We start from the raw sequence: 25,806 nt of genomic DNA on the forward strand, positions 1-25,806 counted from the left end.
AAAAGGACTGACTAAATAGATCAAACCAATGCTGTACAACTGAGAAAACAGCGCTGACTAGCCTTCACAGGTAGAAAGGAGATACTAACAATAAATCACAGAGCTGCAAACCAGCCAGACCCACTGGACCCAGATGTGAACAAGTACGGTAGGTTTTCAGTTTGTGCTTTGGGAACGTTAAGGAGTTTTCTCCTACGAGCCAGACAGAGTAAGAGTAAAGAGTTCACTTGAAGAAAGGGCTCCATCATTGCTTTTTATGTCTTTAATGATCTAATCCCATGCAACAGTTACATCAGTTACATACTTCTTCAAAATATAAGGATCTCAATTCTGTTTGAATTGGACCTTTGGGAAGGAATTGTGTCTCATTTCCAAATTTAATTTGTATGTACACTAGAAAATGTTAAGGAATTTGGAATTTCCTCCCACATTACAAATGTATCAATATAATTTGAGAAATTGCCAATCAGCTTTTGAGTAGGATTTTCACTTTGATAAAATCTTCTCACAGGTAAGGATCTGACTGAATCAGATGGCATTTAACATTTCTATAAGATTATAGCCAAATAAGGGCATGAATGTCATATATTCAAAATCAAGTCCTAGTACAGGACACAGGACCTCTCCTGCTTAAAGGTGGTATTAAACATTAAGTATAACCAGAAAAAGTTTATCCGGAAATACATTTGTGCTGCCACAATTTAAGTCCAAGTAAGGGAAATAATTTCCTAAATTCAAGTCAAGTACCCACTGTACAGTGCTGTGCTGGAAAAGGAAGAGTAAGAGGCCTGAGCTAAGTGGTCTTCTGCATTAAGACTGTAAACAATTTTTCTGGGTTTCCATGAAAAAGGACTCATTTTAGAAAGTTTATGCCATCTCAAAAATGTTTAGAAACACAGAGTGAAGCACTGAAAGGACCTGGACAAAAGAACAAACTCTTACAAGTTCTTAGATTTCAGATATTACAGGTGCTAGATTCAAATTCATCCTGCAACTATTTCAAACATACTAGCTTTTACGGCATGCTTTTCTGTTTGTAAATTTCTCACTGTCTTCTGCTTCCTAAGAAACGAACAAAACCAGCCAGGTTTTGCACTGGGCAACAATACCTGCAATGAGCAGCGAGTCCATCCTGGCAGGCGGCTGTGGTGGTTTGAAGAGTTTGGACAGGTCCTCCTCAGGGAGCGGGGGTTCTCCTCGGCTCTGGCGCTGCATATTCTCCTGCTGGCGACGCTGCTGATACTAAAATTCAAAGGGAAAATGGTTTGGTTATTTTTCTCCATCTGAGGAGGAAAAAAAGATGTCCTTCCCCTACACAACCAGCAGAACCCCACTGCTCTGAATTCCAACCTCAGTTTTTATCATTGGCAACATTTGGTAACTTGCGTCTAAGAAGCTAAATACGCCAATAGCAGAAGAAAATTCCTTTGTTGAAAACTCTAGTGTCACTCTAGCTCTAAGAGTCTATAACTAATGATTCAGAAAACAAAACTAGTTATGTAAGTAACAGGGGGCTTAAAGGGAAAGAAGCTCATGACTAGTAAGGTAAAGGGAGTTCCTTTACCATTCATGACAATGAGGTAATAAATGATTCATCCTAATTTTAATGACTAAGTAATGAACTACCACACTGGAAATTCTTTCACCTTTACTCCTATTGACCTAAAATAACAATACAGATGATGTTATTACTGCTATGTTCACTACTGTTACGGCTTTTTTTCTTTTCTTTTCTTTTTTTTGACACAGAGTCTCATTCTGTCACCCAGGCTGGAGTGCAGTGGCACAATCTTGGCTCACTGCAGCCTCCGCCTCTCCGCCTCCCCGCCTCCCCAGTTCAAGCAATTCTCCTGCCTCAGCCTCCCGAGTAGTTGGGGTTACAGGCGCCCACCACCACACCCGGCTAATTTTTGTATTTTTAGTACAGACAGGATTTTACCACGTTGGCCAGGCTGGTCTCAAACCCCTGACCTCGTGATCCACCCGCCTCGGCCTCCCCAAGTGCTGGGATTACAGGCGAGAGCCACCACTCCTGGCCTATTGTTACTATTCTTAACAGATAATTGTCTGTACCTTAGCTCTATAACTAAAGATGGATAATATTAATAGCTCAGATAATGCTTCAAATACTTTCAAACTCTGGATTCCTATGATTCGCTGAAGAGAAAGCAGGGATATATATAAACTTTAACTATAAACTTATAGATCAACTACAATAAGAGCTAACAGCTATGACTGCTCCCAACAGTGAAGCACGTAATATCCCATACACAACCTTAAAATGTCAGGTAATGAGAAACCAAGCTGGGCTAGTAAAAATTTAGTCTTTGGATTCCTAAGAAAATCAAGGGAAACAACAATTCTTTCTAGTGAAGGAACGTAACTTGCTTTGTAAAGATTCCTGTATTCATTATGGGGTACTCATAGGAAACAAATATTCAATTTGATACCCTGGATGAGTCCTTCACCTACAGGAAAAACCAGCATGAAAATGAAATCCAGCTGAGATGACTTTTTTCCCCCTCAGTTTATCAGACATTTGTAACCACTCCCATCTTTTTAGTTAAAAAAAAAAAATACTGATTTACATATGTTTTCTCAATTCTAAGCTGGTAGAAACAAAGTACTTTAAATTTCACTATATACTGAAAATGAACTCTGATATTAAGAGAAAATTTAAATACAACATTCTTAGAAACCACTCAGTTGTGCTTAGAATTCTATATTTAACAAAGCTCTGTTTAAAGTACATTTTAATGAACAGAGTAGTCATATATAAATACTACTTTCACAGATAAACATTCTGGAATCAACTAATCTATGAATCAAATGCTAAGAACACTTTAGAGCAGTATAGTCCAAATACAATATTCCAGGAACTGTGAAAACCATGTGGCCTGCAGGCAACATGAATAAAGAAAAGGTTATATGGTCACAGCCGTAGATGTGTGCATATGAGAATATTCGGATAATTCTAGGGTTTTTGTCTGTATTATACTATCTACTTCACAGCAGTTGGTCTATTATTTCCTATCAACATTGCTTGCTCTTAATCACAATTGCTCCGTTTTTTAAATGAACTGAAGATTGCTAACTATGCCACAATGAGCCACTGCCAAACCAATTATAGTTAGTAAAGAAATGAGCTGTGACATTCTGGAATCTCTTTGCTTCTGATTTTCTCAATAAATGTATCTCTTATTTGCATAACCTTGGCATTACAATCTGAGCTTAACAGCTCTCTTTAACACAGGTATTTTTAAGTATAACCTGTAAATAATATGTTACAAACATGCCATAAAAATAATAATCTTTTAAAAATATAATATAGAGTAGCTAACGGTCAATAATTTACCAAAGATAATTTAGGTCATTTTGAACATGACTCTTGAAATACATGAAACTTAGAAATAGCTGTTTGTTGAATTTTTCCACAATACCAACCTGATGTTTCTGCTGCTGTTGTTTACTAGTATTCCTCATGTATGTGTTGTATTTAACTATATCTTGGCTCATTTCATCCACTCTGTCCATCAGCAACTGTAGATTCTTCCCCAAATGATTGCTGAAATGTAAAGTAAATATACTGACAAGTCTTACTTTAAATTATAGCTTTGCTACTGCTCTAAACAGTTTTAAGATATGAACTTGAACTGGCTTTTGCTAAAAGAATGAGAGCACACATATGCATAAAAGCAAGAGCAGAGGAAAAAATCTGAGTCAACTTGTTACTAAACTTTCCATACCGAACTTCCAACTATAATCTCAGGGATACCTGAAATAGCTGAGTTTCTTATTGTGAGAGCACAGGTATGTTAGGGTAGGAACTGTTAAACATACCTAGTGAGACATCTATAATACATATTTTTTATACCAAGTTCAGTATTCCCAAATTCTTTTCATTAACTTACTCCTGCCCAAATGCATTCCATAACATTTTTATCAGTAATCACAGGAAAGAACCACACAGATTATGACATCTGGCACATGATTTCTCTATCTAGGTTTTAAATGAACAATGGTAACATTTATTCTACAAAACATGATGAAGAGGCTCCTTTCCTCTTACCTTTCCTAGAATCTGTAGTACAGTCTTTCATATTTCTTATTCTCTCCCGAAATTTCTATTGCAGCTCAGTTACCAACATCGCTTTATAAAGTGATGTAATGACTGGCACAATGACCACCATATTCACTGATTTCTGCCTGCAACTTATCTCCTACCATGGTAACGCCTGGACAGCTACTATACATATATATATTTTTAAAATAGCAAGCTTCTAAAGAGTAGTACCCATTCATTAACTGCAAACAGGTATTTACTAAACTCCTATTATGTGCCAGCCTTAGTACTAGAAAACAGGGAGACAACAGTGAATAAGACATACATGTTCTATATCTTCATTGATCTTATAACTGATTAGGGATGGAGGAGAAAGAGAAGGGGGAGGTGAAGAGACACTTACTTTAGATAGCATGATCAGAGTATCTCTTTGAGGAGATGACAGACTGAAAGTGAAAGATGAGTCAGCTATGCCAAAAATATTGTAGGCAAAAGAAAATACAAGTACTGAATGCCTGAGATGGGCAAGAATTAGGCAGATTTGATGACACAAGAGGCCTGGCATGGCTAGAGCACAGGGATTAGGTCAGGCAGACCAGACAAGCACATGTAGGAAGCTCACTAGCACCATACAACTCCCCAGCAATGTAGTTTGTTGTGAATGAGACCTCACAACTGCAATGTGAATGATATCCTGGAGTTGTGCATGTTTATGACACATTTTGCTTAAATTTTAAAATGATCATTCTGCTGCTATGCAAATAGACTGGAGAGGAGAAACCAGGAGGTTAGTTAAAAGTCTACTGTGGGGTGTTGGCGAGGATGTGGAAAAATGAAAACACTCATACACTGGGAGGGAAGGTAAAGTGATACAGCTGCTGTGGAAAACAGTTTGGTGGTTCCTCAAAAAGCTAAACCAAATTACCATATAACCCAGCAATTCCACTCTTATGAATATACCCTATGAATATGTTTATACCCTAGGGAATTAAAAATATATACTCACACAAAAACTCATACATGTATGTTAATAGCTACATTATTCTTAATAGCCAAAAACTAAAAACAATCTAAAATTCCATCAAATGATGAATAGATAAATAAAATATTATATATCCATACAGTAGAATGTTATTTGGCCTTAAACATGAATAAAGTTCTGATATACCCCACAACATGGATGAACCTTGAAAACATTTGCTAAGGGAAAGAAGGTAGACACAAAAGGCTGCTTATTGTAGGACTCTTTTCTTTTTTTTGAGACAGAGTTTCACTCATCATCCAGGCTGGTGCAGTGGGGCGACCTCCACCTCCCGGGTTCAAGCAATTCTTGTGCCTCAGCCTCTCGAGTAGCTGGGACTACAGGCATGCGCCACCACACCTGGCTGGATTTTTTGTATTTTCAATAGAGACAGGGTTTTGCCAGAACTCCTGACCTCAAGAGATCCTCCCACCTCGGCTTCCCAAAGTGTTGGGATTACAGCCATGAGCCACTGTTCCTGGCCAGGACTCCATTTTATAAAATATCCAGAATAGGCAAATCTGTAGAGATAGAAAGTGACTAGAGGCTGCCAGGGGTTAGGGGAATAGGAATGACAGCTTAATGGGTTTGGGTTCCCGTTCAGGGTGATGAGAATGTTCTAGAGCTAGTAATGGTTGTAAAACATTGTGAATATACTAAAAATGACTAAAGTGTACATCTGAAAAGGGTTTAAATGGTCAATTTTTTCTCTATATTAAAAACTGCACCTCCAGCAAATAATCTATCGTGATATTACAGAGAGAAATTGTGGTGACTTGAACTAGGATGGTGGCAGAGCATAGAGAAAAGTGAGCAGAAATGAGAGAGATTCTGGAGGCAGAGCAGGCAATCTTTATTTGATAGGAGGCATCAGAGAGGAATGGAGGGTGACTCCCAGTCTTCTGGCAGCTGGTTACTACATTTACAGAGAAGGGAAAGACTGAGAAGGAAACAGGTTGGGAATATTGAGAATGAATAAAAATAAATCCAACTAAAATATGGATTCTATCAGTAACCTCAAGAAAATCAGGAAGTTTTGGCTCTTTCTCAAATAATGGAAGGAGCATAGAACTAAGGTGTATGTGAGTAAATTTATCTTTTAATCCCAGCCTGGCACTACCTAGATAACCTTGGTCCAGTAACATGGTCTGATGACTTCACCTGCTGAGGAATCAAGTGCTTCTTTCATATTTATTTTGTTGTGTTGTAATTTTTTAAATCACTTTTAACTTCAAAACATTTCTTCTTCTCTGGATACAATGTATTTGCTTCTGTTTTACCCTAATTTCTAAATAGTTGATTTAAATTCACTCCGACTTAAGTATTAGAATTGGGCAAGACTGAGGAAAAGAGAGGCAGACAACGGTCAAAGTGCAATGACTTAAAAACATACTACAAGTCTGGAATCTGTCCTAAGGACAGTGGGAAACCAGCTAAAGATTTTAAGCAAAGGAGTAATATGAGCATCTAATTTGCATTTAGCAAGATCATTACAATTTTGAAAGAGGAAAAGGTCAAAAAACAGGAAGTGAGGAAGCTGTGAAAGTAATGAGGAAGAGAAATAAGGTCCTAGACTAAGGCAGTAAGTCACAGGAGTAAGACAAAATCGCCCCACGAGTACATGTGTGAGAAGACAGACCCTGAGGAACACGGACAGAGATGAGCACAAGAGGGGGTTCACTGTGGAGAATGAGAGGAAACCCAGAAGAGCTATAGTTTCACAGGCTCCTAGGAAAGGATCTCAGGAAGAAGGCCTTATCAACATATTACATGCTGAAGAGTCTAAAATACTCAGTGACATAGTGACATCAAAGTCTTCTGTGACTTTGGAGGGAGGTCTTACTACATATAATGGGTGGAACACCACAAACTGTTGACAATCACTGGGAAATCAGTGGGAAATGAGGAAACAGTGACATCAAAATTCTATCGAGAAGTTTGATTATGAAACAAATAGAAAAATTTAGCAGAAGACAAAAGGAGATGGATACTAAAGGCATGAGATTAAAAGGTATTCTTTTCATAAGTTTTTCTTTTGAGATGGGGGGATGTAAACAAGTTTAAATGTCTTTGTTTTTAGGAGATGCACGCATTTTAGAAGTATTTAGGGGTTAAAAGTCATGTCTACAATTTACTTTCAGATGGTTCAGAAAGAAAAAGTGTTTACGTACGTAGATAGAGTGCAAATGTGGCATGATATACAATTGGTGAATCTAAATGAAAGGTTTATGGATGGATGTTCACTGTATTTTTCTTTCAAATTGTCTAAAGAGTTGAAAATTTAAACATAAATTTTTAATTGGAAAAATGAGCCTATAAAGATTGAAAAAAAAAAACTAGTATAGAAAGAAACTGAAAATCTATGAAGAAGGAAGGAGTAGATCAACCTAATGAGGTCCTGAGAAGGCAAGAAGACAGGAGGCACTAGCTTCAGGTTTCTGATCCTTTCATTTTTACCAGTGAGCAACCTGAAGCCCAAAGGGCTATACTAAGTATAGGAAATGTCGTTAGCTACATGATTAGTTGTTAAGTCATTTATGTCATTAATTGCAAAAGGAAATCAGAGAAAGAAAAGATCATCACCAATGCTGTGGCTGGGAGGTTAAGGGGAAAGCAGTGACAGTAGGGAAAAAATAACAGCACAGGAGAGGTACTGCCATATGCAGAGAAAATACACCTAGACCTTAAATCTTGGAGGTTGTTTACAGTAATGAGAAAGGCACTACTAAAACAGACCCACTGTTTCTACCAGAAAAGTCTTTAATATAAAGTACTAATATTATCTGCTGCAAGTATATGAAGTTATTGTGAAAGAACACTGCTACAAGCACAAATATGTGGACTTTAAGCATTTCATAACTTTTATATTATGATAATGCTCTTCAGAAAAAAAACAATCAGAAACACACACACACACACACACACAATCTGTGTACTACAGGCCTTAAAAGGGCATCAGAAATTAACAATGACAGAAAATCAGACCACTACCAAGACCAATTTTGTGGGAATCTTTTCAGTACCAGTTTAACTAGGATGCTGAAACAGGGACTTATTGTTAGGAGTTTCAGTAACATTGCCTTTTCTTTTATTGCCAAGCAAATAAAGAACTGAAAACAGATAAACAGATGTGAACCAGGACATGAAGTGTTAAGTCTGCTCTGGCTACAGTATCAATTTATGCTTATAATCCTTAATGTATGATGCCCACCCTTAGTTTACTTTTTTTAAAAGAGGAAATAAAAACAGAATTGTTTTACATGTGTGAAAAGCTGAACGCCTGTGATACACATTTTTAAAAACTAATAAAGGCTGTTATGGAATAACTATTACTAGAACTTCCATCTAATAAAATTAAAATAAAAAAATTTGAATTTTTCAACAAAAGCAAATACAGTATGTTTTAGTCGTCGCAGAGAACAAACTTATCAGGCACATCAAAGAAACTGGTGCCCATGTCTATAGGCTGTGAAAGGAAAGACCAAGTTTAAGCACCTGCATAAGAATTATTTCTGATGGGGTTTCTTATACAAACTTTTATGGCAACTGGCCTGAGCCATCATCACACAATTACTGTCAGAAATTAAAAATTGAGATGTACAAAACTTATCTTTCTGTCTTTTAAAATAGTATGGTCGATTTGGTTCAATGTAAGTGTCTACTAGCAAAAAAGCACTGCTTCAAAGTTGCTTCATTTTTTTTCCTCCTAACAGGAACACCAATTTACACTTTAAATAACTTCATATGGAAAGCAAAGAAATGGGACCTCTTTTTCCTCATTTACGTAAAAATACAGAAGACAAAAACTATAATAAAATATTTGTCTAGGTCTCAGTTGCTAGGGCAAACTGAGAACATTTTCTTGGCTATTATAAATGCTGCTTTGGACAAATGGACATTATAGACCAGCTCATTGGTAATGTTAAAGCACCATCAGGGATGTATTTCTTTTGTATGCTCAATAAAGGCAGCCTGGGAAAAGGTGAAGACATGAATTATGTAAGCAAAAGCTTTCATGCAGTAAATTTAAAAGTATTATATAACTATATACTTAATACATCAAATTGTAACCTTGTATGCTGAAAAAGGTTCTTAGCTAAATGCTTTAAATACAGGTGTGCCCAATGTGTTTGTAAAAGCAATAAAGAAAAATATGACCTTCTAAAACAGACAAATTAAAGGACTATTATGAATATATGTTTGCAGTCAAACAGTATGCTTTTTGGTGCCAAATTAGCCTTGCAACCTGGCTGTGTTACTGAGCACTCCATTTACATTCATCGTCCATCTCCCTGCCCCGTTAAGACTTTCTAGTGGCCTTTGTGATCAATTAACGCAATGGAAGGCGGCGCTTCAACCACAGTCCTACCCGTGCCAGAGCATAGAGAAGAACATTGATGTCTCTGGCCCTTCTGGGTTCATCCCACTTGCCTTATATCGAGGAAGTACAAAGTCTGTACACTTTTTTTTTTTTAACAAGTCTCTATCTAAGATAACTAGAAATCTGATAAATAATTTAGTCTGCTCCAAACTGGTTGCTTAAGAAAACACACCTTGTTTCTTTCAGCCAACAAGCATATATTGATTCTTTACCTACTCTGACCATTTAATTTCATTCCACAAGTCTGCTGCTAGCCTCCTTCCACCACAGACAAAATAATCACTAACATAACGCTCAAAGGGCATTTAAGAGGAGCTATACATGTGGCTCTATTCACATTTCTGTTAAGAGTAATAGATGAGGGGGAAATAAACATTAATTTAACAAAGGGAACAATACTTCCTTTTGGAAACCTCAATCTGCATTTTACAAATATAATAAACATTATCTCAGCAACTAGATAGCTAAGGCAGTCACGGTGGAGGAAATCGTTATCACCAACTAAAATAGGTGAAGCCAATGTCAGGTTCAGAAAATTCAAATTTTAGTTGAAAACTCAAACAACTGTAATTTTACAACTGCAAGAGTCTGCATCTGAACAAGGGTAAGTACAACCAGTAAAAGAAAAAAGCATTTCTGTTCTTTTCCTGAGCATTATTAAATATCCAGACCTAATACCCTAAGCCTCTTAGGATCGTGTACAAGAAATAAAGCTGAGCCATATAAAAAAGCCCTCCCTCTTGGGCACTGACCTTATCAAAGCACAAATGATACAGCAAAGAAGGCAGCAGAGGGTTCTTCTAATATGAGCAATTAGTATTCAAATAATGTGTTGTTTCATGTTATCAGTTTGGCGTTTTTCCCTGACATCCTAACAGGGCCAGACTATTACTCCATGTTATACATGTTTTAAGAACCTATAAACGTTCTTAAGTAACTGTTTTCTTGTTTCACAGGTAAAGTTTATGTGAAAGAATCTTTTGCAAAAAGTTCTAAAACATGGGCTTTTCATTAGGCAGGGCCACTTACCTGCTGGCAAGGCTGAGCAATTCATGTTTATCTGCAACAGCTGACTTCTTTTCAAGTTCCCACATTAGGACATTGATCAGATGTGAATTTTTAATTACAATCGGCACTTCTTCAAACATGTACTCAAAGGTGATATTTGCTTTTTTCAATCTGTGAAGCATGTTAAAAATACTTTAGTCTGATGGTCAAAAGTAAGTGCTAAACTGACTACTTCATAAAATTTACCTAATTACAGGCCCTATCCAAGATCTTTGTTTCATTAGCACTCTTAAAAAAAAAAAAAGTAGAGAAACTGGAGTTTTACAGAGTCAAGCATAAGTTGAGTGATTTGAGTAACTTTGAAAATGATGCGAATTTGAGCTAAAGCCCAGAAAATGAGATTCTTGGCAGAAGAAACTACTCATTCTTTGTTATCAGGTATCTTTAAAATTTCACTGATACTAAAATGTAAATGTCACAGTAAGTTATGCTACACAACCTACACCTACAACTTAATTTAAAATAGCTAGAAATGAGAAATACTCTATTTCTTGAAAAGTTCATTTAAAAAGCCTCTTGAATTAGAGTTTAACAAGTAGCAGAACACAAGGAGACTCCAGATACAATAGTTAGAACATGCCAAGAACACAGTTTCTCATAGATTAGTTATAACCACCACATCCAGGAATTGTTCATGAGTTAGCTTTTCTTTTAAAATTCTCTGCACCTTAACTTTTTAGGAGCCAAATGGGAAACTAGAGAAGAACCGTCCTACATGAAGTCAAAACCATTAATTTTGATTCAATAAGAACTAAAAATTTCTATAATTAACAGAAAATGGAAGAATTCTAAGTATTTAATTTATTTAAAGTAAATATTACAATGCCATTAAATAGGATCCCAAAACAGCTCCATCAGTTAATTCTCTGCATAACTGTCACCCATAAAATTTCCAATAAGCCACATTCTTTACCAAATTCTTAAAATGTTTATATCTTTCCCACCCCCTCATTAAACAAGGGTTCGGAAAATAAGACACACAGCTCACAACCAGTCTGACACAGAGCTTACAATCTGACAGCCACTGATCACTCTTTCCACCTCCCTTTATTCAATCATTTATTTCTTCGAATCCAGTAGCTAATTAATTCCCATTCTAACTGAATTCACCCTTGGTGAGAACAACAGATGAGATATTCCCTAAAGAATAATTTAAACATGGAAAGGGAGAGAGCAAGCAGCACTCGGCATGCAGAAAACTTCTACAGTCCACATGGCAAAAGCATTACCACACCACAACCAAGGATTCAAGAGATGTGGCAAAGAAAAATCTTAACAGAAAAATACCCAACCCTTTACCAGATGCCCCCAAACACTTACGCTTCAGGGGAAAAATCCTTTTCTTTACAAACTTCCATCAGTTTAGGAGTCAGTCTGTATGCCTTTAGTGAGAGAGATCCTTGGGCAGTTTTTATGGGATCTCAAACAAGGAAAGAGAAATAAATTACTAAGAATTTTGTCACTGCCAGGCTTGAATGGCATTGGTTCTAGGCACATTCTGTTACATATCGCACAATCTTTGCAAAATAAAGATCAAAATAAACAACCAGAACACAACTTGAAGCAGACTCAAAGCACTATTGCAAATAGCACTTGAAAATGCAGGAATACCTCTATCCTACTTACAATAGAGTAATTTCCTCTGTCAAAAACTAAAGATGCAAAAGAGTTATTTTCAAATTCATTCCTCAGCAAGAACTAGTAACCTTGCTGAAAATTAAATGTATCATATGTTCTAGACATATTGTATAATTAGGAAATCACTGATAAATATTAAACATGAAAATTCACTGCATGTACTTGGGTAGCTCCTCATTCAACTTAAAATGAATAGCCCCGCACACAAAATTTATCAATCCTAATAATCACTGTTCACATTTCTTCGTTAAAACAGATTGTAAAAACAAAACCATTCAAGTCAAACTGCTATCACAAAAGTGTCTTTCTGGTTTTGGAGAAACTAATTTTGTCAAAGCTAACCGCTGAAACACTCCATGAGTAAGGGAGCTTAGCACTTGCTGCATGATAACGGCTCTGGCATGCCAATATTCGCCTAAAACCTGTGTTAACATTCATGTTGTCTGAAACTTAACACAGTGAAACTTTTAGCAATAGGTGATAAAATGAAAACCAAAATAGATTGAAACAAGTGGAAAATTCATCAAGGTCTGATGATGCAATGTTTCCAGCCAATATAAGTATACTTTAACAACTTGTTCTTTACTGTAATCCAATTGTTAACATACTGAAACAATTTTGGGGCAGCTCATAAGATTGATCGTATTCATTAGTATTTTTTCTGACAGATACTCAGGACGTTACATTTACTTCTCAGCTGGAAACTATATGCAAGTCTGCCAGATATGGCAAACTGTGAGTGTTTGGGGAGGGGGAAGGCTATAAAGCTGTTAAATTGCCTACAGTTCTGATACAGCACAGAACATCTGGTCTGGAGAGCTTGAGGAAACACCATTAAATAGGCCGAAAAGAAAAAAATCTTTGTGCTAAGAAACAGTCCAGGTTTTGTACGCTGTTGTCAGAGGTATAAAAAAAACTTGGCACACCGTATTATGATTGGTCAGTCACGTACAGAGCCAGACACTCTAGCAATCGGGGTTTGTTAGACATCTGGTCTAGTTCCACCAGCCCCTTCAATGAGGGAGGGGAGATGGAGGAATAGAAATGAAGCAGCTACTCCAGCATTCCAAAATGTACACATCAGGGCTCTGATAGCAAGAAAAATAAACAGAAAGAAGGAAACCCTGTCTAGACTGAGCTGCTGCTGAGGCTGCTGCAGAAACAGGGTTGGTATTTACTTGAGAAGGCCTGCCAGACTGCTCTTAGAGGCAAAAAGGACAGAAAGCAAAAATAGTAGTAATAATATTAAGGGAAAAAAGAATAATAAACCTCCTACTAACCATAAATGAGAACGACAGATTCTTCAATGGCATGCTGGTAACTAAACTGAGAGTCCAGGAGTGCCCGGGTAACGAATGAGCCATAGTATGTGGACTGATACCAGCCCACGTGAAGATGATCAATGTTTACATGGCGAAGGCTCCGCATCATTTCCATCTGATATTGGACTGGATGATGGGGAAGAGGAAATTAAAAGAAAAAACTTTTTAATGATGTTACCAACATCAAAAACAAGCCGTTTTGGAAACAAATGTCTACATAACAATTTATTAGCAATAGGGAACAGGATTCCAGATTTAAAATTCATTCAGTTCACATATAAAGCAAAACAAAATTAGGCTTTTAAATCATCAGGGGTTTCCTTTTATTCTTTAATGAAAAAATATTTTGTAGAAAATGTATTACACACAATATTAATACCTTGTTCTAACCAAAGAATTATTAAATGTGGCGTCTAACTCCCCTTTTTGAAACTCTCAAAATAGTAAATGTTTAAGAAAAATTTGTGTAATTACTAAATTGGTTGGTTGTAAGAAGTTTCATTTGAATTAATAAAAGAGGAAGAGTTATCAATCTCTTCTTCAACACAGCTTTTAGAGCTGAGAAACTAAAACCATTAGGAAAACTAAGGAGAAACAACTACCAACCACACTGCTTATATATGAAGAGGATACAGGCTGTAGCTGATTCAAAATGTAAGAGTACATTTTTGCCTTCATCTGGTGCCCCCTGCTGCATATGCTAAATTTTTTAAAGAATTATTTTTTCTTGTCTGTGTGTTCCTTTAAGTAACAGATACTATGTTTTCCTTAGAATAAAGTTATATTTTAATGACCATGTATAGAATGAAAAGGTTTAGTGACTTTTACTTTTGTCAAATTAATGACTACAAAGTATAGTAATGACTATAATGTATACTATATTAAAGCAGTATTACCAGAAAAACAGATTAAAACTAGCAATATAATAAACGACATTTTAAAAAGCAATATAGCACAATAATGCACAGCAAATATATAATACAGGAGAAAACTTTATAGTCAACATAATAGCCATGCTATTTCTATTATTATTTATTATTATTATTATTGACACAGGGTTTCACTCCCATTGCCCAGGCTGGAGTACAATGGCCTGATCTTGGCTCACTGCAACCTCTGCCTCCCGGGCTCAAGTGATTCTTTTGATTTAGCCTCCCAAGTAGCTGGGACTACAGGTGTGAACCACCGCACCCGGCTAATTTTTGTATTGTTTTTTTGTAGAGATGGGGTTTCACCATGTTGCCCAGCCTGGTCTCGTACTCCTAGGATCAAAGAATCCACCCACCTCGGCCTCCCAAAGTGTTGGGATTGCAGGCATGAGCCACTGCATCCAGCCCCAAACTATTTCTATTATAATGAATACATGACCATGCTGAGTAAACGTATTTGCTTAACTTGAAACCTGTTTCATTTTCAAAATTCTTACTCAGGTTTTAGCAAAAGAAAAGTTATATATCTGTCATTCTTTTGGTTATACCACTATGGTTTTACAAAGCCTACAAGACTCAGGATCATAAAGTATAAAAGAGTGTTCCTCAGATGGACACAGTCTGATTTTTCATTACTTGTAGGAGAAGAAGTTATAAATCTGCTTATTCCAAGGAAGGTTACAGTTCTCATGCTAAAAGATGGCAGCCAACTCATCAACTACACAAGAATTGCGTGTTTTTTGAGATTTTTTTTTTGCTATGTAGAAAAGCTAAACAAACAAACAAAAACAACCAAAGTTATTTTGCCACTATCTGAAGAGACTTTCTTAAGCCTACGGCAATGTTGCAACAGAGCTGGAAACTGCACTACTGTAAAGATGTACAGTTTAAGTGCCTGTTTTGAAAGTGGGCTCATTTATTCATAAAAAGGAAAAAAAGTGTTAATATAGAGGAAGTTAGGCTACTAAGGGTATGGGGGAGAAGGTGATACCAGACACCAGACACCAGATACCAGACACCAGACACTTTGTATACCAAACCAGTGTTTCTGTATATTTATGAATAAAATACAAAATCAAAGTCATATAACCTATGCTATACTCTAAACCACCATTAAAAACATCACTACCTTAGAAACCTATTTTATACACAATATGACAGCCGAAAAAGCAGTATGAAATATGATAATCTTACACCAATTATTTTTTATCTTCATATTTTATTTCTCTAGCATGTAAGAGGAACCTCACCTCCCCCCAGCTAGTTTAACAGATTCACATCAACCACATAAATTTGGCAAGTGGGATAGAATCACTGCTATGATCTCCTTCTGTTTCGAAATTCCATAATTCTTTTAAATCAAAGTAAAATCACTGATTTGGCTAATAAATTTTAATCAAATTTAATTTATGAGTGAAAAGTCCCAGTATTATAAGTAAAATGGGAGCTGAAACTGAATTTGCTATTTATTTTAAAGGGAAAGGGAAGAGGAGAGATTAAGCAACTGACAGAACGAGTAAGATTTTAAAAAACATTATTTTTAAATCAAAACTTATGCAACGTATTAGTATAAAATTTAGCTACAATATAAGAAGAGGTTGGAGTCTGCCAACTTATAATAGCAGAAAAGAAAGACTTGGAATCTAGAGGTCGAGGTTCTCATGCCAGCTCTGAGATTTCCCCTGTGGGGATCTTGCTGTACAGTTAATAATTCTTCTTTGATATTTAATTTTCCCATCTCCAAAGAGATCTGAGAACCCAATCCCAGTCAAAACGCTATTATTCCACATTGTTCACTGGACATACTAATTATAAATAAAGAATTTTCTATTAGCTAAAGGGGCCTCCAGCATGCATTATGATTTAAAATAAAAATACATTCCTCTGAAAAATATTCTGTAATCTTGCTAAGTCTGTCCTCAAATAGCCTGAATACAAGAGATTCTCTAACAGCATTTCAGGATACACAAGGTAAAAAACTCCAAGATCCATAGCAAACTTCCAAATTTCTTCTTTATCCAGAGTCTTACCTATTCTACAGCACCTCTGATAAGGGTAAGAATGAAAATGAAACGTTCCTCTAAACTAGGGAAGAAAGTCAAGAAAGCCTATAGCCGTGTGGAGATACCACTCCTCCAACATATTTCTGGGGACTGAGGAGTAAAGAGAGATCAGCTTCTTTATTAGGGGAAATGAGGGGAGCATTTCCATTTCCTCTTCCATGGTTTAGAATATGACATAAAAGATTTTGCAAGATTTTGGACACATTTGTAAGTCATAAGAGTTTTCATATCACCTAAATATCAAAATAAAGAGGCTAAAGAGCAATGATTGGTCAATTAAGAAAATCACTTTAAAAATATACAATGCACTAGAATTTCACTAATAAACAATGTATGTGTTGGGCCTAATCTATGTAAAGTGAAGGAGATTCTCTATCTTGGTTTGGACTTACCACCCCAATTTTAAAATTAAAAACAAAACTTTTTTTTTAAGTGCCCTCTCAGAGGCATCATATAAAGAAAGGACCTAAACAAACTGCAAGTGAGTCTTAAAAGGTGGGGCTGGGGATGCTAGAGCTCCGAAATGAACCACAGTGCACAGAGGCCCAGTTCTCACCATGACTGCTCCTATGAAGCGCCAACAAATGCAGTGTTTGAAAAGAGCTCACTTTGATGTAATAAGGTAAAAAAATAATAAGTAATACTGTTTCTGTTTATTATAAGCCAAGGAACAAGAGACACAACTCACAAACAGCCACATGAACTGCGTTATCTCTGTAGACTTTCAGGTCTGTGTCCCCATTCTTTGAATCCCATCTCCCTTCACCCACAGTTTATCCTCCCCTTCCCACCCAAATTTTCAAAAAGTAGAAAGCCAACTCCTGCAAAAGCTTCCTGGTAAACCTAAGTAGGAATACGAAATGAAAAGCAACTGTCCCAGTGACCTGTCTGAAAACCATGCTCCTGGCAGGCACCATCAAGGGAGCTAAGCTGCCACACCAGCTGACATGTATTTACCCCTTTGGCCTATGGACAAGGGAACAATCGTGAAATTATGGCATGCTGGTTAAGTTTTACACAGAAAATAAGAAATTGTCTTTCCAGATTCCAATCTCCTGGATGAACACCCTTGCTTTTGTGGCTATGCTAGTTTCTCTCAGGAGTTACATTGGGTAGGTAGGTAAGGAGAGCACAAGAGACCCAGTTTGGCTACAAAACAGGTAAATGAGGGAGGGAAGAAGCCTCTGCATATCTGGAATTGGTTTGTGATGAAGATGCCATGTCATAGCCCACAGGCTCTGGTGACTATGAGGTCCTGCTATTTGCCTCCTCATATGCAACCAGTCCTCACTTTTCTGGCTGGAGTTTTGGTATTTCACTCTCGAGAAATAAGGCTCAGGAGTGGCTCACACCTCAGAAGGAAGAGAATCATCTCAAAGAAACAAAAGGAAAAAGGAGGAGGAAAAGAAAAAAAGAGGCTCCTTGACTCGAAGTGCCAGCTGCCTACTACTGTGTTAATGCAGATCAATGAAGAAACAGGCACTGATTGGCAACTTTGCAGAGTTGGTCCAGGGTTAGACAAGCTTCAATTTTTGTTCTCATATTTAAGGGAAGTCAAAACAGCAATTTCAACTAATGACATTCTCTTCTAAGTTAATGTCTAAATATTCCTGGAGAAATTTCCCAAAGATGAATGGCAAGAGGATAATCCTCTTGGGAGGGAGAACTATTTTAAAATTCATAATGTTTAAGAGAAGGACTTAGTAGAAAAGAACCTTTTAGGCATTCTTAGTACAAAAAAGCAAACATCCCCACTGAGGAAAAGTAGTATGCAACACATAAATTTCAAAGACAAACTGGTCAGCTGCACGCCGTGGCTCTCGCCTGTAATCCCAGCACTTTGGGAGGCTGAGGCAGGTGGATCACTTGAGGTCAGGAGTTCGAAACCAGCCTGGCCGACATGGTGAAACCTCGTCTCTACTAAAAATACAAAAATTAGCCAGGCGTGGTGGCAGGCGCCTGTAATCCTAGCTACTTGAGAGGCTGAGGCGCAAGAATTGTTTGAGCCCGTGAGGCAGATGTTGCAGTGAACTGAGATCACACCACTGCACTCCAGCCTGGGAGACAGAGCGAGACTCAGTCTCAAAAAAAAAAAAAAAAAAAGACAAACTGGTCGTTACTATTAGGCCAACTCAAACTACTAATACAAAAAGCCACACTTGGATGCAGTTGAGCTCGTGCCGCAAAATTTGGAAGGATTATAAAAACGAGAAGTTTTATAAATCTCTTCAACTTCTGCAATTGTTTTAATTGGTAAGCATGTCCCAAGCAAAGGAAAGCCTGCTTTACAACACTGAATAACTGCCTGAAGTTTGGCACCAGTATATTCATATTCAGTTTTTCCAGATATCCTCTTTGCAAAACAGTCCATTTTAAAGCACCTAGAGCTAAATCTGTCTTCACTGAGGTGGACTGTCCAACAACTATCCCTTTCAAACATCAGCCACATTTGTTGGGCTTTCTCTTGTTTTACTGTCACATATGAAAACACTGAAAATAATATGCTGTCTTACATTTAAATGTTATATATATCTGAAGTTGCAATGGCAACCAACCAAACAACAGTATGAGATTCAAGAGCTCCTGAAGATCACTGGAAAGGACAACAGAGTAGAAGCTTTTCAGTTCAGCAGAATAACGAAACAGCATTCTTCTCACCTTCAATTCTTCATCCTCATTTTTAAAAAATCATCTTTTTGATTGTGTTAAGTGAGCCCTTGTGAAATACAATTTCTCACTGAAAAACAGGAACAAAGAATTGCCACCAATGGATAGGCTGGGATGAGGAGAAAGTAGAAAAGTAAAAATGGAGCTTATTCAAACTCGAAAACTCAAGATATGTTCAGTAGATCAAGAAAAAAGAAGTGTTTTGCAGATGTGTTATTAGGGAACTCTTAATTAACAAAGTCATTTAAATTCTAAAAATTAAAAACAATTTAAGAATCTACCATCTAATATTTAATGACTTAATATTTTATCAAATAAATCCAAATTATTTAAAAATACAATAAAATTATTTCTAAAATAAACACAGCCTGTAGGGAAAGAGTAGAGCTAGGCACAGAGAAAGAAATTACCACTTAGTGAGCACTTATTATGTCAGACTTCCTGCTAAGTGTTCCACATATGTTATCTAACTTTATATTCCTCACAATAACTCTAATGAGCTAATCATGATTATTGAAATCCTTTTAGAAAAGCTGTTTACCACAGCTATTACTTCAGACTCTGACTCCAAAGGCTAGCCAGCCACCCATTTTGAGAGCCTCATTACTTCTTATTGGTGAAGTATACAGTAAATTATTTCTGAATCATTGAAGCACAGCACAAATACAAGAGAAATACACAACAAATTTCTAGGTTTCCAGAAACCACATCTTGTCTATATTTGACATTAAATTAACCAATAATAAACCAATAAATGCCTGTAAAATTTTAAGTGATAAAACCACCAAAGATTTTTAAATACTACAGTTGATAATTATCACAAATACATAATCAAGCCCCTAAAATGCTGCATTCTATGTTACTATTTGAGGCTTGTGCCATGACTACTTTGTAACTAAATACTGGCTTAGATCAAAGATGACCTATACAGGTATATAGATGGAACAGAGATCAGATCTAGTACATGTTCTTTGCAGCAAAAAAAACCCACAAAGCTCAATCAGGAGATGCAAATAGCTTAAAAAGCAAGCAAACAAACAAAACCCCACAATTTCCCAGAAACAAACCAATGATTTCAACAAATACGACAGGGAGGTGGAATGCATAAAAATCTCCTATCTGTTCTGGCATGGGAGCTAACCAAAGTAGGACTTTTAAGAATAAAATTATAGGCCTCCTTCCCAGCTGCAACATGGGACACCAGTGAGCACTAGGCTGTGAACAGTGAAGGCTCTGTGCCATTATTTAACAAGACAAACTTTATTCTGTGCTTTCCTCTTCATATCAGACTTTTTGCCAAGCTGCACATACGTTTCAGGCAATGTTCAAAGCTACTAGCAGATGTAGACTTAGGCAAACAGAATGTGCATTTGAAAAAAGAATTAAATAAGAGTCTACTTTGGGTGGAAAGAATTATGGAGTACACAAGTTTCTTAAAACGTCCATATTCTCTGCATCCAATCTGTACCACATATTCCTCTCGTTTCAATTAATACATCTGTTATTAATACCACCCTGTGACTGCTTAAAAATTTTAGTAACAGTTCAATTTTTCACAATGAAGTGTCCAATATAAGTTCTATTCTACCTAGACACTAATCTGTTGTATTGTAAAAGAAGTAACAAAAATACTGCCTTTCTTAATCTTACAGAAATATTTTTTAAAATAATGGGTGGTTTAATGTCTTCTTTAAAGTGTTTATGAATTCTGAAAAAATATTTTTTTGAATGCCAAGCTGGGGAATAATGGAATGGGAATAGGGTGGGGGCAGGCATTGTCGCCCTATTTTATCTTTAAAACTAGTACGAACTTTGACAATTATTAGAAATCAGGTATTCTGAGGTTTTACTGTGTCTCAAGAAGTCTTCTATGAAATAAATTGGATTCTTCACACAAAATAACACTTACATCCTGTAACAAATTTATATTATCTTCTTAACCAAATCATGAAATAAAACCATGAGATCTTATTTCTTTGAGGTTATAACAATCTGAAATACATATATACATTTATGGCGTTGGTCATGAAAACACATACACATAGTGGAAGATAGAGAGCCATCAGGAAGTTAATTCTATGTCATTTGAGATGTGTTTATACAAACAAACTGAATTTACCTGGAAGGGCTCACCATGAAGAACTCTCATATAAAGAATAGCTTACTGACCAATGCTACCTCTTGCTACAATTAAGAGCATGGTATGTTAGAAGACCAAATGAGAATCTTTAGTGTTAGGCAAAAAAAAAAAAAAAAAAAAAAATTACACTATGTAATAGGCTCTTTCATGAGGACAAGTAACACCTCTTGTCATATTTCCAGGTATTAGATTAATGTTAGCAGAGAGGTGCTGAAAATATTTCCAAAGAATGGAATATTTAAAAAACGTGATTGTTGTTAACATACTTGAAAAAAGTCACAACTACTGGGAAAGTATAAGTGTGTGTGCATACACCTGTGTGCATGTGTACACGCTCTGCCCCATTCACAAAGGACTTGAGGTAGCTTGCATTAAACCATACAAGGTGATAAGTAATATCAGAACTACAAAACATCTTAATTAGAATATAGAAACTAGAAACTGAAGGAGAGGCAGAGACTTGAACAAAGTGAATCAGGCCATGGATATTCTGATTAAAACATACAATTTGGCTCCAAGCCAAATCAAAGCAAAAAGGAAAACATGGTCATTCATATCCAAAGGGAGACAAATATCAGATCTTAAAGTAGGTGAAACACTTCCTAGTACTTAACCCTGAATGAAATTACCCTAACCCTAAAATGAAATTTTCATGTGGGGCTTCAATGAAAACTATTTTAAGAAGACATTTCTGTTATAGAAAAATCATGCTTGATTTGCCTTTCCTATAAATCTCAGTTTCTAATGTAAATCAAGGAGAGAACGACCTGAGTACTTTTCTAAACACAGAAAACTGTTTGTACAACTTCACAAAAAAAAAAAAAAGATTAAGGGGCTAACAAAATGAATTAATAGTTTCCTTCTATTTACAGAAACAATCTGTAATCAAATTTACAGAAACAATCTGTACATTTCAAACTCCACTTGTTTACAAAACAGAAAGAGATCTATCAGAAGTGAGCACTAAACATTCAAAGGAGAACAAATGATCACTTTTTGGAGGTACTGTTTGTAGTGTACACACAAAAGTGTGGTGATAATAAATGACCCACAGAATCACTTAACTTTCTTTGCTCCTAAACCATTTACTGGGCACTGCTTGCACTAGGAGCCTGATAATGCTATAGTGACCTCATCTTCTAAAAGATACTCTCTTCAATAAGGTTGCCCAATGAACTGGTGGTAGTCAACACATTTGTCTCTCTAGGCCTTAATTTCCTCACCTAGAAAATAATAGTTTCAACTTCCAAACACATGATGATGGCAATTTAAAAAACCTTCCTACAAGCCCAAGGGCTCTTTTGTTTAATGAGCATTTTCAAAAGTCCCATAGGTACCACACACCATAAAGGTATAGACTGAGTTTATTAACCCCATCCTCAAACTCTACTACTTCCATATTTTCTCCCTCAGTTAAGAGGATTTGAGCCGTCAATTGTGACTACTTCTCCAACACTCGGGTTATAATAGTCAACTACCTTCTGAGTAGACTTTGTTTTCCTCAAGGCAAAAATCATTTAGAACATTTCTAAAAATTTTAAATGGCATAGGAAAATGCTCATGAGGTGCTAAGAGAAAAAAGCAGAATATAAAACTATAAAACATCTATAAATGCCAGTATGTAAACAGTGTGGACTGCACTCTCCTCCTAAGGAGAAAGACTGGAAAGAAATATGCTAAAATGGTAACGGAATTGTTCTCCAGAGAGTGAGATCATACAAGGTTTTTGCTTTCTTATTTATTCTTATCATCATTTTCCCATGTTTCTTTGGCAAACGAATTATTCAATGCATACAATGTTAAAGAAGTACATACATATACATACATACATAGTGACAAAAGTTTTCTGTTGCTTGCCAATTTGCTGATTTTCCCATAGTCACCTATAACCTGGTTACTAGTGCTCCTAAACTGTGGGAGCAGCAGGATAGGGTACCAGACTACTCTGAATCTGAAGCACCTAACCTGGTCTGAATAACATCTTTACCACACATTAATTGTGTGACCGGCGACAAATTAACTAGACTGGCCTCCTCTGTTGCCAAAAAAGAAAACATGGGGAATGTGGGGGTCGTAGGGGCTGGGCAGCGGGGGGTGGGCACAATACTATCTACTTCATAAGGCAGTTAAGATTGAACAAAATCATTTGCATCAAAAGCTTGGTGCACTGGAAACCTCAGGAAGAGCTCAAACCCTTACCACCATCACCTATTATTCAGAAGTGTTCCTTAGAACCCAGGTACTATGATACTCATCTGGGTCAGAAGGAAATGTTTGTGTAGAATTGGATTGGATTAACTTGGCCTCCATGGAGTGTTACGCAAGCTCCCCTTTTCTCATCTCCATATTGGCGACGGGGGAAATCAGGAAAATGGGGAGGGGGACTGGAGATTGTATGTGTCACTACAAAAATCAAAGTCTATGCATTTCTAACATTCATGTCATGAAACAGAATTCATATGTACAAATAGGAATATGATCAAAAAACAATCTACCATGAGAAAAAAATACTTCTAAGATACTAAAAACACTAAGCTAATTATATTCAGTACAATAAAGAACAGATTCAATAAAGAAAGAGACAAGCTACAGAAATTAGATTTCAAGAAAAGGTAATCTTGGGTGTTCCATTATTACTGTGCATATAACAATATAATTGCATTGTACCATATAAGTTTCTATCTCCTGATTCCATTAATAACTCTTCCAAAGAGAGGAAATAAGCTTCCTGCCCCTATCCCCAACAGGTGACTTTTTTAAAAAAGGAAAACACTGAGAAGAGCAGTGGGGATGGGAAAGAGGAGTGAGCAGTAATGCCAGCTTACTCAGGGGACTGGGACAAGGCTATCTGAAAAAACTGCCCACCCAAGTGAATAGCTAAAGTAGGTTAAATATAGCAAACAGCTTTATCATACACCATGTATTGCTTAGGAGAAGGGCCCACTCCAGCAACCTCAGCTGCCCAAAGATAAGCTTCCTTTACCTTCAAACATCAGGATGATTTGGATTTTAAAAAATAGTATCAAAGATATTATAAAAGAAAGCCTGAGGAATATAATTTTTGAAGACTATCCTTAACTGTAACCTAAAGAAGTGGAAGATGGCAAGAATGGAAAGTGACAGCAGTTATAGAAAAGGTTAGGAAGAGCAAACAATTTCCTATGGTTTAGTTAAACCAGAAAAATAGAAGTTTTTATAACCACACACTCCACCCATCCTTTCTTGTCCTCACTTCCTCACCTCTTTCCCTACACACTCTGCTTCTACCAAACACTTTTCGTAGGATAGGAAATACAGCATTCCAAGCTAAGAAAAATGATCAAGCAGAAACCTTCATGGCAGCCCATGATAAACGACAAATCTGAGGTTAGGAACCTATGGTTTATTTTTAAATGGGGCCATGTTACATTTCCTGTTATGACAATATCTAACCCAGGAATCCTTATCCTGGGATTTCAAGGAATGTGTGAATTTCCTATAATCATATGCATACGCACTACTATGGAGATAGTCCAAAGCTTTCACCAAATTCTCAAAGGGGCTCAAGATCTAAAAGGGTCACAAGTACTGAGATGCAATGGAGAACAAACCAAATGTGCTCCTGGAACTCCCACTGCCTCACAAGTATGTGGGGAGAATGCGGAGGTGAGGCTAGGTGTGAGGCAGTTATCAATCCAGTTCCGGGGCAGCTACAAAGTAGCACAGATCAGTACTGAGATCACCAAAGATACACTATCAGGACAAGTACAAATGACAGACCAAGGGTTCAGAGAAATCTCCAGCTTTCAGCAGGACAGCCAATAGAATGTGACTTTTACCCTTACCCTTCTCCTACCAAAAACACAAAGTGCATGATGAGGGAAGCTGGATGGAGGCTTCACCTAACTACTCTGTGATCCAGACTATTACTTTCCAGGGTGGAGAAAGAGAAAAAGCTGTGCATGCCCTTACCCGCAAGGTGATATGACCAGAGACTTCTACATTTGAGAAGAATACGTGTTTATAATTTGGGGGAAAGTTAGTCTCTAGCAAAAATATCACATTATCACATTTTTGATACTCTCAGGACAAATTTTATCCTATGTTAGAAATGTACCTTAGATATAAATAGCTCTACTGTCACATACTAGGGACTAACTTCAAGCAACCAACAATCCTGTTACTTTTTGCAGTTTTTACACACAGATCTCTTGAAGTCATTACTGAGATTAGCCTTATCAGCTGCCATTAGGTAATCTGAAGCTCATGAAGATACTTTCCTATGGAGGGCCACTAGGATTAGAGGAAGGTGAAATACAGTATATGAGGCGGAAGTAAAAAATATTGGACGGCAAAAACATTACTACAGAAAGATGTCCGAAGGCTACAAAACAGATCAAATAATTATCTTCTGCAATTGGCAAACAGGCTCCTGCCAGATGTTTAAAATAGAATTAACTTCTATGGGCTATACTGATAGAAATAAACTGTACGACTATAAATAAATAAACATCTAGGAAAGCATAAATAACTGT

General features: G+C 36.7%; 1 protein-coding gene and 1 long non-coding RNA gene across 9 annotated transcripts in view, besides 4 other annotated features; one reads left to right on the plus strand and one right to left on the minus strand.

Annotated features, from left to right (window-relative positions):
* EIF3H (eukaryotic translation initiation factor 3 subunit H) overlaps positions 1–25,806 on the minus strand; it is a 124,245-nt gene that overhangs the window by 3,232 nt on the left and 95,207 nt on the right. For all 8 annotated transcript variants that reach the window (XM_047422386.1, XM_047422384.1, XM_047422385.1 and 5 more), the window contains 5 exons: positions 13,452–13,619; positions 11,854–11,953; positions 10,495–10,644; positions 3,445–3,565; positions 1,110–1,242 (listed from right to left, as the gene is read on the minus strand). In XM_047422386.1, coding sequence (XP_047278342.1) covers positions 1,110–1,242; positions 3,445–3,565; positions 10,495–10,644; positions 11,854–11,953; positions 13,452–13,619 — 672 coding nt within the window. The remainder of the gene's footprint in view (positions 1–1,109; positions 1,243–3,444; positions 3,566–10,494; positions 10,645–11,853; positions 11,954–13,451; positions 13,620–25,806) is intronic.
* Positions 4,449–4,498: an enhancer, noted in NCBI's record as "active region_27825". NCBI's record gives its function as "activates an Ori minimal core promoter by ATAC-STARR-seq in GM12878 lymphoblastoid cells {active_cell/tissue: GM12878}" and the evidence as "EXISTENCE:reporter gene assay evidence [ECO:0000049][PMID:35858748]".
* Positions 4,559–4,628: an enhancer, noted in NCBI's record as "active region_27826". NCBI's record gives its function as "activates an Ori minimal core promoter by ATAC-STARR-seq in GM12878 lymphoblastoid cells {active_cell/tissue: GM12878}" and the evidence as "EXISTENCE:reporter gene assay evidence [ECO:0000049][PMID:35858748]".
* Positions 6,734–6,873: an enhancer, noted in NCBI's record as "active region_27827". NCBI's record gives its function as "activates an Ori minimal core promoter by ATAC-STARR-seq in GM12878 lymphoblastoid cells {active_cell/tissue: GM12878}" and the evidence as "EXISTENCE:reporter gene assay evidence [ECO:0000049][PMID:35858748]".
* On the plus strand, positions 6,739–9,264 carry LOC105375713 (uncharacterized). Its single transcript, NR_136278.1, has 2 exons — positions 6,739–7,095; positions 8,798–9,264. It is a non-coding gene; the product is annotated as an uncharacterized LOC105375713 (long non-coding RNA).
* Positions 7,424–7,473: an enhancer, noted in NCBI's record as "active region_27828". NCBI's record gives its function as "activates an Ori minimal core promoter by ATAC-STARR-seq in GM12878 lymphoblastoid cells {active_cell/tissue: GM12878}" and the evidence as "EXISTENCE:reporter gene assay evidence [ECO:0000049][PMID:35858748]".

Source organism: Homo sapiens, chromosome 8 (assembly GCF_000001405.40).
Source record: "Homo sapiens chromosome 8, GRCh38.p14 Primary Assembly".
NCBI lineage: Eukaryota > Metazoa > Chordata > Mammalia > Primates > Hominidae > Homo > Homo sapiens.